Genomic DNA, 15246 nt, shown 5'->3' with positions numbered 1-15246 from the left:
CTGTACACCTAAAATTGGTGAAGATGATAAATTTTATGTTAGTGTACTTTACCATTTTTTAAGAAAAAAATCTAATAATTAACTTATTTTGCTATATATTGGGTTGTCACTGAGTAGGAACTTTATATTTTTGAAACCAAATCTGAGATGTAATCCTGAGAGTTTATAGGAAGAAGGAGCCTCTGAGAGGAGATGGCTAATGCTGACCTAGCTCTCTAAACAGTGCAAAGCTTTAAGAGGAATTCTGCCATTAAGCTCTCTGGGAACTCACAAGCAGCAAATGAAGTCTTTCCAAAGTGAGGGGGAAAAAAGAATGAAAGTTACTAAAAACTATTTTTTACCAGCTATCTTCATATATCCTTATACTGGATACTGGATAGATCAAACTGAAAATATGTAAACATTTTTAGCCTCTCTGCTTTTAAAACCTACTCAGAATTGTGATTGAGAGAAGAAAGCAATCCCTTCTGTATTACCTCATTTCTATCATCAAAACAGAATTTCTTATCATGAGCACAGGCCTGTAACTACTTGCCTATCCTTACCTAACTGGTGTTTTTGTTTTGTTTTGTTTTTCTATCTTCTACCCTGACTTATCCAAATTTGTAATACTTATCAAGAACCACTTTAAATCCTTTCCTTTTTTGTTATTTTTAAAATCAGGCAGGATATAATGGTATAACATAAAATACTGGCCAATACTTGGGCCATACTTTGAATAATAAGTTTACATGGATCATTTAACAAAAATAATATATAGCCAGCAATTTCAAACCATGCCTTAGACCTCCAGATTTAGTATTTTAACAAAATAATAGAATACATCTGTGGTCTTCAGCCTGCTGAGCCTAACTGGGACACACTGGGGGCTGTTTAGCTGCCAGGTGCTCACTGAAGGCCAGAGGACCTCTCAGACTACAGCTCAGGGTGCAAGAGAAGAGAAGCCACCGTGCCACATACAGCTCCCATGTACAACCACTGTGAACTATGAACTGTGAACTGTGAAATATAAACTGTGTCACATACAGCTCCCATGAACGACCACCCCCATATCCACAGGAGTCCCTGTTTCCAAAGGGGCATCTTACAACTTCAGAGCCTGTTGGGATAAAGTGATTTTGTCATATCTTGGAGCAGTTTACTAGAAGGGTTCACAAGTTAACTTTGGAATAAAAAACAAGGTGATGTAACCCACAGAACACTGGGCTTAGAGCTGGAAAGCCACACTTTGGCTCCTACGCTCTCTGAGTTGGGAAAAATAATGCTTTTTACTCTGAGGACCATTGGGAAGCTCAAGTGAGGTAAAACATGTATAGGTACATTACAGGTGGAAGGCAATATTAATAGCATGGCATCAGGAGGGATGAATTTAGGTGTTTAAAAGAAAGGAGGCAAATATACAACAAGCAACATCCCTACAAAGACTTCACACTTTCCGCTTCTTGAGTTTCCTTCTGAGAGAGGTTGAAAGTGAAAATGTATCTTTCTTTGAAGATAAAAGAAATATCTTCTGTGAGTTAGTATGGACAAGGTACTAAAAGAAACTTAAAATGAAATGTCGCATATCCAAAAGAAATTCTATTATAAGCCATGGGTCAAATTCTATTAGAAGTGAGGGGTTATATCTGGTAAGCATTAAGACAAACTCTGCTTTCTACATGGCCTGCTGGCTAAAACCAAGTTTCCCTCTTAGCAACAACAAAATTTACTTAGTATTCCAGAACATACACATTGTGAAAAGCCTTTGATTTCAGTCGTTGGCATAGAAACCTGGAGTAAAGGGCTGTGGGAAGAATAGAACCAATACAAAAAGAAAAAAAAAAATTCTTGCTGAGCTGTTACTGTCAGCAAAGCCTATGTTGTTTTAAATAAATCTTTATCACACCACTCTCTAAAAACAAATGGGTGGTATATATTTATAGTCTCTACTTTTATTTAGAGAGGACGTGAAAAGCAGGAAGAACGTGAGAATGCATGTAATTGTCAATTTCTCCTTTGAAGTAGCCTCTGCAAAATGCCTTGCTCCATTTCTGGCTGGGTTCTCCCTCTCCATACCCCTCACCCTACCTGCATTATGATGTGCAGGAAACTCATGGAAAGCAAAAAAAAAAAAAAATGGAATCCAACATTTTCATTTTTTCTGCAAGACACAGCATTGCAAAATTTAACAAAAGATCTCCACAACTCAATGAAACACACTCATAATGATGGAGCATCTTATTTACTAATGCAAGTAATGAATCAATCCACTTGGCATTCAGGTCCAGCTGCTTCCTTTATGCCATGCAGAAGAGAAGAACTGATAAAGAGAATGTTTTATTTTATTTATTTTTAAAATTATATTTTAAATTTTTGTGTAGCAATGGGGGCCTCACTATGTTGCCCGGGCTAGTTTCAAACTCCTGGGCTCAAGCAATCCTCCTGCCTCAGCCTCTCAAAGTGCTGGGATTACAGGCATGAGCCACCATGTGCAACCGATAAAGAGAATGTTTTAAACATATCTAGCTACTGCTTCTTGGCTTTTTGGCTAAGATCAAGTGTAAAAATATCTAGCTGATGCCATTTAAGAATCTACCTTTAAGGTTCACAATGATATGATTAATTTATGTTAATTTCACAGATCAGATATAATCTCCCCAATAAAAGCATGTCAAATTCACAAAATTCATAAAAGCTGCTCACTGTAGAAACCAGTCAGGAACCTATTATATAAGAATCAGGATCTTCTAAACCAGAATTAGAAGAGGGATTCTATTCACAAGATCCATGAAGGATACAGGCAAAAATGTTAGCTAATATTTATTTACTGTTCTTGTTTACTTGTCTTCTCTCTTTAGATTAGAAGGACCATGAGGGCAGAAATTTTGATCATTTGTTCACCACTCTATCTGCAGCTTGGAACAATATCTGGTACAGAGTAGATTTTGCTCTGTAAATACTTATATATTTATCAAATACATAAATATAAATATTAAGCAATGAGTGAATTTAGCATATCGATGTGAATCCTCTATGAACGTAGTAGATAGGCATAGTCTCAGAAAAGGAAGGGATCAGGTAGAGGAAACACCACTAAGGTGTATCCTCAGTATCCATCTGAGAGGCTCAGGCTTGGAACTATACACTGTCTTGCTAAAACTTGCACTGTAAACACAATCTAACAAAGGTAACGAGTAGTTCCTTGGTGAATAGTAAAAACCATCCTAGAGTAAGCTGGGACTAGATGTGCCACAGACTGTTGACAGTGTTTAAACAATTTAAACATTCTTTAAGGTTTCGCATTGGGAAAATTTAAGAGCTGAAGCAATCTGGGCCACAAAGATTATTGATTGGTTTATCTAGAAAATGGCAATCTTCCTTTTCACTTCAGTGTTATTTACAAAAACGAATATTGACTGTATTAGATTATGAAAGCTGAAGTTGTCAAAAAGCAATGCAGAAAATGTCACAAATACAATTTGTATTATTAACCCAATACACTATCACATTGGGGAAACACCCACTTTTCCCCTAGAAGTGGAGAAAAACAGTGAGAGTTAAGATATTTTAAAATAAGTAGAGTTACTTTTAGTATACAATTTATTAATCATCTTATCTGGAATATTGAACTAAATATCTTCCTGCTTTTCCCTAATATAGTTTCCTGATAATCATAAAAACATCTACTACAATGAGTACTTCTCATTCCAGAAATGATATGATGTATTGGAAAACACTAGCAAAAAGGCACTCATTCAGATCAAATAAACTAAACTTTAACCAACCCACTACTTTTTTGCCTTAACATTGTTGTCTACCTTGGTTGAAAATATGTATTCTCTGAAAGGTTAAAGTATGTGAGAGGATGGTTTAATGATATATATTTCTATTTTTCATCTTTTCATTCGATGAGATTAAGTATTCAATGAAAAGAATGATGCTTACCATCTTAAATGTGTAGCTATTTGAAAATAAGTACTAAAATTCAAAATAGAGCTTCAATCTTTATTTTCTGACAGTTAAATGGCTGTTTTCCAGTTACTGCATCCATCAAACAATAACCAAGGCACAGTGCTTGTATCATAGCAGGTAGTTAACACTGCTCTTTCAGGCTTCCGGGTCAAAAGATTGAGCAAAATGGTCACCAGCACTGCATATGGGGACACAATGATGGACACAGGATGACCATCAGAAGAGAGCTGCCAGAAAGAGCCAGGACAAGCACAAACTGTAAGGCAGCTTCCTGGAGTCCACAGTCCCTGACAGTAGAATCTGGACTAGCAAGAGACAGCATAAAGTCAAAAGACCTTAATCTGAATTCCCTTACTCTCTTAGGCAGGTTACTGGGCCTCTGAACTTCAGACTCTTTCTGTGAAATGGCGCAATAACCCCTAACTTAGGATCCATGTGAGGGTTAAGTAAGATAATGGAGGTGAAGGCCCTGGCACAGGGCCTGGAACATAATGGGAGCTCAGTAGGGGAGGTAGTCATTATTATTACTATGGGAGCGGTACTGACCTTGAGGGATCAACCACAGCGGCTGTGATTTAAAGGTGCCATTTGTTGTCCAAAGTGTAGGCACGGTATGTGTTTTAGCACACACCTGCCACGTGCTGCATATGCAATAATTATGGTCTAATATTACCATTGTGTTGATGTGCATGGCCATGCAATGGCAAAGATCCAGAGGTTAACAATGCCTTGCATTCTTGTTTGTTTGGTTGTTTTTTATTCTTTTTCTTTTTTTTTTTTTTTTGAGACGGAGTCTCGCTCTGTCACCCAGGCTGGAGTGCAGTGGCGCAATCGTGGCTCGCTGCAAACTCCGCCTCCCAGGTTCACGCCATTGTCCTGCCTCAGCCTTCTGAGTAACTGGTAGCTGGGACTACAGGCACCTGCCAGCACGCCCGGCTAATTTTTTGTATTTTTAGTGGAGATGAAGTTTCACCGTGTTAGCCAGGATGGTCTCGATCTCCTGACCTCATGATCTGCCCGCCTCGGCCTCCCAAAGTGCTGGGATTACAGGCATGAGCCACCGCGCCTAGCCTCTTTTTTTGTTTTTATTTTATTTTCTGCCTTACATTCCTGAAAGCAGCCTCGGGCTACCAAGTCCAATGCCATGGCAAGATGCCTTTGTCCAGTAGGTTATGCAATAGCACAGCCATATTTGTATTTTTGTGAAATAAAAATATGGTAGAGTTGAGCAGTTCTCCCCTCCAGAAAGCTGAAGTTGTTTTTTCTTTAGGAACAGGACTTTCAGGGTAGTGTGGACCTAACCTTACAGCGGGACTCAGCAGCAGCAACAAAATCAAAAAAGGGACCCTGGATGCTACTCTTAACATTTCCTTACTTAGGCACCTAATGTAACGTGCATCATCTCCTTAAGTCTTTCCATTAGTTCATCCTCTATTAAAGCTTGCAGCAGGACCACCTTCTTAAAGTACAGAACAATTACATCTGGATTTCTAGAAAGCAGGGTTCCCAGTAAAGCCCAGAAAATTTCAGAGACATCAGAAAGTCTAACACTTAAGATATGTAATTTGTAAGGTCCTGTTAGGAAGTTTGGATAGCATGTCACGATCTGTTGATCACTTTCAGGCAAAGTCAAAATTCTCAAACAGAACTTTATCATTTTAACTCCACCTTGCCTCCATCAAGAACAATGAGGAGCTAAATTACTTACAAAAGCTGCCTATGGGTGCCACTTTCAAACTATCACCTTAGCATCATGTTTTACTTTTATTATTTTTTATTTTTATTTTTGAGATAGGATATTGCTCTGTTGCCCAAGCTGAAGTGCAGTGGCATGATCATGGCTCACTGTAACCTCGACCTCCTGGGCTCAAGCCATCCTCTTGCCTCAGCCTCCCAAATAGCTGGGACTACAGGATGTGCACCACCATGCCCAGCTAATTTTTTAATTTTTCATAGAGAAGAGGTCTCACTATGTTGCCCAGGCTGGTCTAGAACTCCTGGTCTTAGATGATCCTCCCGCCTTGGCCTCCCAAAGGGCTGGGATTACAGATGTGAGCCACCACACCCAGCCCAATATCAAGTTTTAGACTGGGCGTGGCTGGGAGACTAGCAGGTACCTAGCTTGAGGACATACTTGTAAATTTCCAGTTTTTTCCAGTTTTTCCCAGTTTTTAAAATGTACATAAAAGGAACATGAAACTGGAAGAAGAGTAAGAAAGTAGGAAAAAAAGTGGTCTTTCAATGACTGAATCTCCTCATCATATGACCCAGACTTCAGTGATATTGACAGTGAGATACCTTACTGTAGATGTGTGTGAGGACAAACAAACATTGGAGGTCCAGCACATCTCCATTCAGAGTCCTCAGTTTCATTTTCTAGGCCATATATCGGGATAATGAAGAGCATGCACTCAGGGGTTAGGTAGACTTTTAGGAGTTTTATAGCCTTGTCAAGTCACTTTAACCTCTTTGAACTTCTGGTTTCTCAAACGTAAAATGGGGATGATAATGCCTGCCTAGCAGGGTGGATGTAAGGATTTAATGAGTTCATGCATAAAAAGCTTTTAGTTGTTGTTTATTGTTAGCCTCCAGGTAAACTAAAAACCTCTCAGCCTCTGAATCTTATCAGCATGAATCTGCACAGATTCCAAGATAATCATCACACTCATTTGCTTCCCAGTTGGAGTGGAGAGTGAATTTACATGACTGTTTAATTAGTAGTTGAGCGCAAAGGGTTTGGTCTCTCTCCCTATATTAAATGTGAGAATACAGGTAAAAATGCTTAATAAATGTTAGCAGCTATTATTCTCACTGTTGTTATTACTTACTAGTCCATGGAAACACTGTGCAGTGCAGAAAAGAGAAAATGAGGAAGCAAAGGGGTTTTTCCTTTTTGATCACAGCCTGTTGTAGCCAGAGTTCCTAAATACTTTGTGAAATTTTTTATACTTTCTTCATTCCTCCCTTGACCTCTGAACCCACAGTTTTTCTAAAGACTACTGATTTTCAAGTCCAACAGAGCTTAAAGGTAAAAAGAAAAGAATAAAAAGACTACTGATTTGCTTTTTCACATCTGTCACCACCAGACTATCCCAAGCATCTCAAACCATGTGGCTATCAGAGTTTACAAAGGTTTCTGGTCTCTCCTGATTGGTTATCAGTGTACATATGTCACAAGTATCCTCAACTCCCAGGACACACCCAAAGCCCTGTAGCCTCCGGACCCACAGTTATTGCCCGAGGTGGAGTAGGGGAAGGGATGTATTTGTTGAGAAATGATGTGGTTATTGGTGTGGGAATCCTGACATTAGAATGAGTAAATGACCCCTTCCTCAGTGACACTAGCTCTAGGAAGTAGGCTGCAATGTCAGATGGGAACTTTGATTTCTCAAGGCATGTTTCCAGACTCCAGCCACTCCATGTTTGGCTTCAGTGAGAAAGAAAAACACTGGCAACAGCTGTGGAAATCAGTGGCTAGAGTTTAAACAATCTCTTGTTTAAACAGTAGGAAACTGCACAAACAAGCTAGACTTCCCAAGAGTGAAGGCCAGGTACAGAGGAAATGAAGCATTCCAAATAATGCCAGGTAAGAATGAGGATGAATAACCAGTTCAAAGGCTAAAGAAGTGGCCTCAAACTCTTGTGTTCCTTGGAGCTCTAGGGTTGCTCCCTAGGTTGCTCAGGGATTGCCTGTAGCTGGGGGAGGGGAGTGTGCGTGTGTGTGTGTGTGTGTGTGTGTACATGTCTGTTGCAGGCACCTGCCACCCCCACCCCTGTGGCCTTCAAATGCATTAGGAGGGAACCCAGAGCCTCCCATTCTGGGAGTGAGGATAGCTTGTGAGGGCCACTGAGGGTGACAGGGAGGAAGGTCAAGCTGAGTCATAATATCCTGCAGTGATTCCAGGAGACTTTAGAGATTTTTTTCAAAAGAAAAAGAAAAAAGAAAACAAGAAAAGAAAGGCAAATACTACTTCAAAGTCAAGAGCCTACTTTTACAATTGCTTTGAAAGAAAAATAACTAAAAACAAACCAAATGTTTTCTCAAATAAAATGCTTCCCTATCAGTCACTTGGGTGAAAAGTCAGCCTTACCTTGACATATTGAACGAGACGCTCACTGACATTCACTTTGTAAGTCTCTATGCCCAGCTCCTTAGACAAGCGTAAGATTCTGTTTTGGGTTGGTCCCACATAAGCTCCACCAACATCTACGTAATCAACATGCTCATTCTGCAAAAAGAGAAAAATTGGTCAGAGGACTTTAGTTAAAACTTGGAAAAAAGGTGTCTTGTAAAAAAATAACCCCATTTATTTTTTTAAAAGTTAATTGTGCCTTACATCTCCCCTATAAAGAGCAACTGAAAATGGCAATCTTTCCTCATCCACTCAAGAACTGGGGCACAATCCTGTCTAACACTCATCACTAAGCACCATCATTTGGTAAAGTTATTGGTAAGGCCAATTCAGCAATACAATGCATAAAAGATAAAGAACACTGTAGTATGTTCTGCCAGTTTAGATCCTTTATGAAACATTTAAATTATTATGTGAGCTTCTGTCTGGTGTTATTGCTGGAGGAGCCACCCAAAGCCTAATTCCCTAATTTCCACCAGGTGAAATCTTAAATCAGTCCACATTGATGGCTCTAGATGCTATTTTAAAACACTTCCAGGAAAGAATGCGTCATAGGAAAAGAATACAAGAAGGTATAAAAAGATTCACATATCACTAAATTATTTACAAATATGCAAACCCTCTATCATAAACTAAAATTGTTTACTTCCTCCCTCATAAATACAGTTCTCCATGCTTTTCAGCTGTTTTTATTAATTGGAAAGTTCCAATGATTTAATCAATAATTGAATATTGGTGAGCTGCAACCCTTCCGTGGTTTTTTTTTTTTTAATAAATAAAGGGTCTGTGTCTATTTTGTTGTGTATACCAATTCTCAAGCATGTTGTCATGCATTTTTTCCTTGTTTGCCTGATTATTTTTTGTTGAATGCCACTCATTGCACTTGAAAACATGTAGAAATCATTTGAATCCTAGGAAGATGATATCTTTCTCAGAGAGGATTTATGTTTGCTTCTGCCCACAGCCTGGGACTCTCACAGTACCAGATAACTTTATACCATTTTCAGTACCTGAGAGGATTTGAAGCTGGGCCGAAATGCACATTTGGCCTAGTTTTCTTGCCATTTACCCTTGGTCCTTAGATGCAGCCCAACCCACAGCACAAGGAGTTGACAAACACTCCCCCAGAAATCAGTACACACTTCATGGGGCTCTGGACTTGACCTGTCACCCTAGCTTTGCACTAGGTCCAAAGCACTGCTCAGCCTTCGGGAGCTTCTTCAGTGGTCAGCAACTCCCCCTGCCACCCAGGGAAAAGTAGGTTAATCCTTTCCAGATGTTGGCCCAGTGATTCTTCACTATCTTGTTAGCTCGCTGGCTCTTTAATGCTTTAAAGATGTGTGCGTGCGTGTGTGTGTGTGTGTGTGTGTGTGTGTGTGTGTGTGTCTATACAGTGCAACTTGTCTAGTCTCTTTGTATTTTGTTATAATTTACCTAATCTGCTATTTCCAGAAAATTGTCTAGTATTATTCAACATTTCCTTCCTGGAGCTACCCAACGTGATATTATCTTTCTGTTGGAGGATATGCTTTGCTAACATTTTGTTTAGAATTTTTATATCTATGTTTATAAGCAATATTGAGACTGGCCTATGATTCTCCTTTCTTCTACTGCCTTGTCTGTTTTTTGCATTACAGTACTGCTAATCTCCTTAGTGATCATACTTTTTTCTATTCTCTAGAAAGGTTTGTATGTAAATAAAGTGATCCATTCTTTGAACATTACATAGAACATGCCTGTAGAACTAGCTAGGCTTGGTGATTTTTTTAGGGAAAATCTTAAACTAGACATTTAATTTATTTTTAGGTTAAAGCACTACCCATCTTTTCTATTTCCAGACTAAATCACTGTTAACTTTGATGAATTATATTTTTCTCACAATATGTACATTTCATATATGTTTCAAAACTGTTGGTTTAATGTTCATGGCATCTTCTTTTCATTTAATTATTCTTTATTGCATCAGTAATTATATCTTCATTTTCATCTTTTTTATTTTTATTTTTTTTTTTTGAGACAGGGTCTTACTCTATCAGTCAGGCTGGAGTACAATGGCATGATCATGGCTCACTGCAGCCTCGACTTTCCTGGGCTCTATGAATTCTTCCACCTCAGCTTCCTGAGTAGCTGGGATCACAGGCATGTGCCACCACACTCAGCTAATTTTTGTATTTTTTGTAGGGTTAGGGTTGCTCAGGCTGATCTCAAGCTCCTAAGCTCAAGCGATACACCTGCCTTAGCCTCCCAAAGTGTTGGGATTACAGGCGTGAGCCCCACATCTGGCTCTGATCTCGTATTTATTTGGGGTGTTTCTTTTTCTGGAAAAATCTTATCAGACACTTCTTGTGTATCTTTAATAGGTCTCTTCAAAGAATCAACTTTTATTTTATTGATCCTCTTTGTTGGGTGTCTATTTTCTACATCATTGATTTATTCCCTTTTTACCCCTTCTTTGGATTTATTTTGCTCTTAATTTTCTAACTCTTTGCATGATTAGCTTATTCATATATAGCCTTTTTCTTTTCTAATGGAAGAATTTAGACTATACATCTTCTAAGTATTGCTTTAGCTGCATCCACGACTTTATATTTTCCATTATTTTGCAGCTCTAAGTATTGTCACAAAGAAAAGGAAAAAAAAAGCTTATCTTTATTTATGTTTTCCATCTGAATTTAAGCTATCCATATGATATGAAAAAACTTGGGCAGAAAATTTAAAGTGTCAAGGACGGTGGTAGAAGTAGACTTAAGTCCTTTTCCCCTATGCCTCAAATAATTTACACACAGATAAAGTTCCATGGAAAATTAGCAACCCACAGCCAAAAGTTACAAAACATACATGCAAACAAGGCACCAAAAGAAAATAAGCAGAAAAAATAATCCAGAAAGATTTCATAATAGTTGAATTATACACAGAATCTAAAAGTACTATGCAATATATTTTAAATAAAATAAGTCATTAAAACTAGGAGCAGGGGAAAAGAAACTGAAAATATTATCAAGTAGATTAAAAAATAACTGCTAGCAATAAAAATGTACTAATTAAAATTTTTAAAACTCCGTGAATGGATTAAACCATATATTTGACATAGTTAAAGAGTGAGTAAACTGCTAGATCTGAATAAATTATCTAGAATGCAGTTCAAAGATAAAGAATTGGAAAATATGTTGAGGAGGTAGTTAAGACATGGAAGATGGTGTCAAAATATTAAGTAGTATTAAAAAATAGTGGCTGAGGATTTACCAGCATTGTTGGAAGATAAGAAACCCAACAGGTCCAAAGAATGATAAATAAAAAAGAAATTCTCACCCAGACACAGAGAAACTGCAGTATACCAAAGAAAAGAGCTCCTAAAAGCAATTCTTTTTCAGAAAACAAAAGAGGCAAATCATACATACTCTGAAAAAAATCAACAATTAGACTTACGAGTGACTCTTCAACAATAAAAATACAAGCCAGAAGATAGGGGAATAATATCTTTGCTGTTCTGAGAGAAAAAAAAAGAGGAAGAGAAATTCTAAGTAGAATTTGTTACCTGTTAGAACTATGTTTTTGTCAAGCTGACAAGTGTACAGAGTTTAGGACCCAGATTGGAGGAAAGGGTGTGTTTCAAGTAGAATGAAAATGGTTACAAATAAAAGGTCTGAGATTCAAGAATGGACAGTGAACAAAGATACTGGCAAAACTTTAAAGAAAATTAAGCAACATCAACAATAGAATAAAATAAAATTAATAATGTCTGAGAAACATACAAACTTGAAATACTTTTATAGTTTACAGATTGGAAGAAGGGTGCTCACAACTGAAGCATGAAAGCTTTTGTATTTTTTAGTAGAAAGATAGTATGTTGATAAACTTTAGACTACATTAAGTATGAGTGTTAATATAGTTAGGAAAATTGTCTGAAAAACATTGGTCTGACTATATAACTTCTGAACAAGTAGAAGAAAAAACTTAAAAAGAAAACAAAAAGAAGAAAACCATTAACCCAAAAGAAGGAAAGAAAGAAACCAAGAGGAAAACTGTTAAAGTGGGACAAATGGAAAGCCATAATATAATAAAGTTAAAACATTTAAAAAAGAAATCATAACAAATATAGATGGACCAAGTTTGTCAATTAACTCCACTAAAAATGCAAAAATTAGTTGGGTGTGGTGGCAGCGCCTGTGATCCCAGCTACTGGGGAGGCTGAGGCAGGAGAACAGCTTGAACCCAGGAGGTGGAGGTTGCAGCGAGCTGAGATTGCGCCACTGCACTCCAGCCTGGGCAACACAGTGAGACTCTGTCTCAAAATAAATAAATAAATAAATAAAAATCCTGTACCCCCTGAATCTAAAATTTAAAAAAAGGAAAAAAAGTCAGAATAAAGAAAACTCTAACTGAAAGATAAAGAGATATACAAATACTAATGTAAGCTGTTATAACTATATTAATATCAAAGAAAACCTTAAACAAAATAAATCTCAGTGAAATAAGTGTCACTACATAATGCTAAAAGATCCAGAAGGCTAACCAAGTTTAAACTTGCATAAACTGAGTAATATAGCTTCAAAATGTAAGCAACATTTGACAGGAACCAAAGATAAGTGCCCAGTAGAACAGAGAATTTTTAACATACTTTTAAAAGTGATTAATAGATTAAGCAAACAAAAAAGAAGGAGCACAGTTAAGCTTATTCTAGTGGACATATATAAAACACTGCATATAGCTTTTAGAGACTACATGTTCTTTTCAAGCAGAAATTAGAAGATCTTTGGATATTAACCATGTGCTTGCTAGGTTATAAAGCGAGCCTCAAGGATTGTTACCATGAAACAATATTCTCTGACCACAATGCAGTGATGACGAAAAATAACTGAAAAACATTCCAGGTGTAGAAATTAAAACACACCAGCCTGGCCAATGTGGTGAAAACCTATCTCTACTGAAAATACAAAAATGAGCCGGGCATGGTGGCGTGAGCCTGTAATCCCAGCTACTCAGGAGGCTGAGGCGGGAGAATTGCTGGAACCCAGGAGACAGTGGCTGCAGTGAGGTGAGATCGTCCCACTGCACTCCAGCCTGGGCAACAGAGTGAGACTCCGTCTCGAAAAAAAAAGCAAAAACTCCTAGCAACATGGATCTAAAGACTGTAATACAGAAGTCTGCTGGTATATTCAAGAAATAGCAAGGAGGCCAAAGTGGCCGGAACAATGTGAGCAAGGAAAAAAATTGAAGATGAGGTTACAGAGGTTATTGGCAGAGCAGGTCACGTAAAGCCTCACAGGACATTGTAAGGACATAGGCCTTGGCTGTCAGTGAGAAGGGGAGCCGTTGGAAGGTCTTGAGCAGGGAAATGCTAAAATCTGAGTTACATTTGAAAGGCTCACTCTCACTGATGCACTAAGAAAGAACAGAATGTAGGCGGCAGGAGTAAAAGCAGGAAAATCAGGAGCCTACTCTAGTAATCTGGCCTAGAGATATAATGGTGGCTCCCACCAGGGGATAGCAGTGGAAGTGGTGGGAAGCGTTGAATTCTGGATATGTTTTGAAGGCAGGGCCAACGGAATTTCCTGACAAAACAAATGAGGGTCTGGTAGTGTTGAGCATGACTCTGAGTTTTTTCGAAGTTGCCATCTTCTAACATGGGCAGCTGGAACAGCGGCCTTAAGGAAGATCAGAAGTCTAGTGTTGGATGTGTTACGTTTGAGATGTCTATGCAACATCCAGGAGATCTACAAATTTCTAACTTCCATGTCAGATGAGCACAGCATATTGTATTCAGCATTTTACTTATTTCAATGAGGAGTTAGGGTTTCCATTCTGCCATAATACCAGAAATGAAGTGCTTCTGTGACTTCTTTAATGTGCCCTCATATAATGTTTATTCTCTCTTTTAGTAACCATCAGTGCTGTCCTTCAAACCTTTTCTAATCTACAACAACTATTTTAAGATATAATGAACAAAACTGGAATTAGTACTCCAATAAATTTCTGGGCTTTAACAAAGACAGCAAGGGGACTCCTGGGAGTTTCCAAACATGATGTCTTTAGAATGCTGACACTATCTTTAAAGCAAATAATCCTAAATGAAGCAGTAAAAAGAGTGAGGCATTTTGCAGAATGTTCCTTTACAAAGTAAGAACGTTCTAAATGAAGTGCCTCAAATTCAGCATGAAGACACTAGAAGCGGTAACACTGTATTCTACTGTGTTGCACCTCAGTCTTTGGGGTCTTGATTTAGATCTCACTACTCAGCCTTTGAAGAGGCCACAAACATGCAACAATATTGGAAACATACACCAACCCTGTGGCAGCCCTGCAGGCATTTCAACTTTATTAATTTGACTCTGAAGAATCATGGATGAATCACATTAGGAAAAACGGGCAAGTTCTGAACTAATGGAAGACGCATCTGAACAGCTTGCCAGGTAATACCAAATTTGACATTCTGGTACTCAGAGATCCATAGTAGCTTTTATGGCATCTCCTCCCAAAATTATCCTAATTGATTATGTTATTAGAAGCAATTTAAAAAATATTTGCTTCAGTTTCTTATTAAATACAATTTTCATGCCTGTTTCCTTTTTTAAAATTTTTAATTTTTTGAGTCAGGGTTTCACTCCTGTCACCCAGACTGGAGTGCAATGGTGCAATCTCGGCTCACCGCAACCCCTGCCTTTCAGGCTCAAGTGATTCTCCTACCTCAGCCTCCCAAGTAGCTGTGACTACAGGTGTACACCACTGCACCTGGCTACTTTTTGTATTTTTAGTAGAGATGGGGTTTCACCATGTTTCCCAGGCTGTTCTCAAACTCCCAAGCTCAAGTGATCCACCTGCCTTGGCCTCCCAAAGTGCTGGGATTACAGGCGTGAGCCACCATGCCCGGCCTCCATGCCTGTTTCTTAAAGCCCTCTTTCTCTCCTTCTCATCATTTGGAGTATAAATGCTAAGTCCTAATTTCCAAGCATTTCAGAGATTCCTTTCTCACATTCCTAAGGGGGGTGTAATGTCATGCTGAATAGACAATAACAGTTCCTGTGTGGTGCTGACATATATAAATGACACAGCATGGCAAAGTAATTGGGGCCAATAACACAGATGGGGACAAGTATGTTGGAATTCTCATTTCCCTTATACAAAGAAACTTGTTCTTAACTGAAAATCCGCAACATGACTAATG

At 38.3% G+C, this 15246-nt stretch overlaps 1 protein-coding gene across 2 annotated transcripts in view; it reads right to left on the bottom strand.

Moving 5' to 3' along the window:
• The window catches only part of MAOA (monoamine oxidase A), a 91812-nt gene that overhangs the window by 45347 nt on the left and 31219 nt on the right, over positions 1–15246 (bottom strand). For both annotated transcript variants that reach the window (NM_001270458.2, NM_000240.4), the window contains one exon: positions 8043–8180. Coding sequence is in view for 1 of the 2 variants with exons in the window: in NM_000240.4 (NP_000231.1) it covers positions 8043–8180 (138 nt within the window). In the remaining variant the exon portion in view is untranslated. The remainder of the gene's footprint in view (positions 1–8042; positions 8181–15246) is intronic.

The sequence above is a fragment of the Homo sapiens genome, chromosome X (genome assembly GCF_000001405.40).
Source record: "Homo sapiens chromosome X, GRCh38.p14 Primary Assembly".
In the NCBI taxonomy this organism is placed as follows: domain Eukaryota; kingdom Metazoa; phylum Chordata; class Mammalia; order Primates; family Hominidae; genus Homo; species Homo sapiens.
This window is presented reverse-complemented; position numbering and strand designations above follow the sequence as displayed.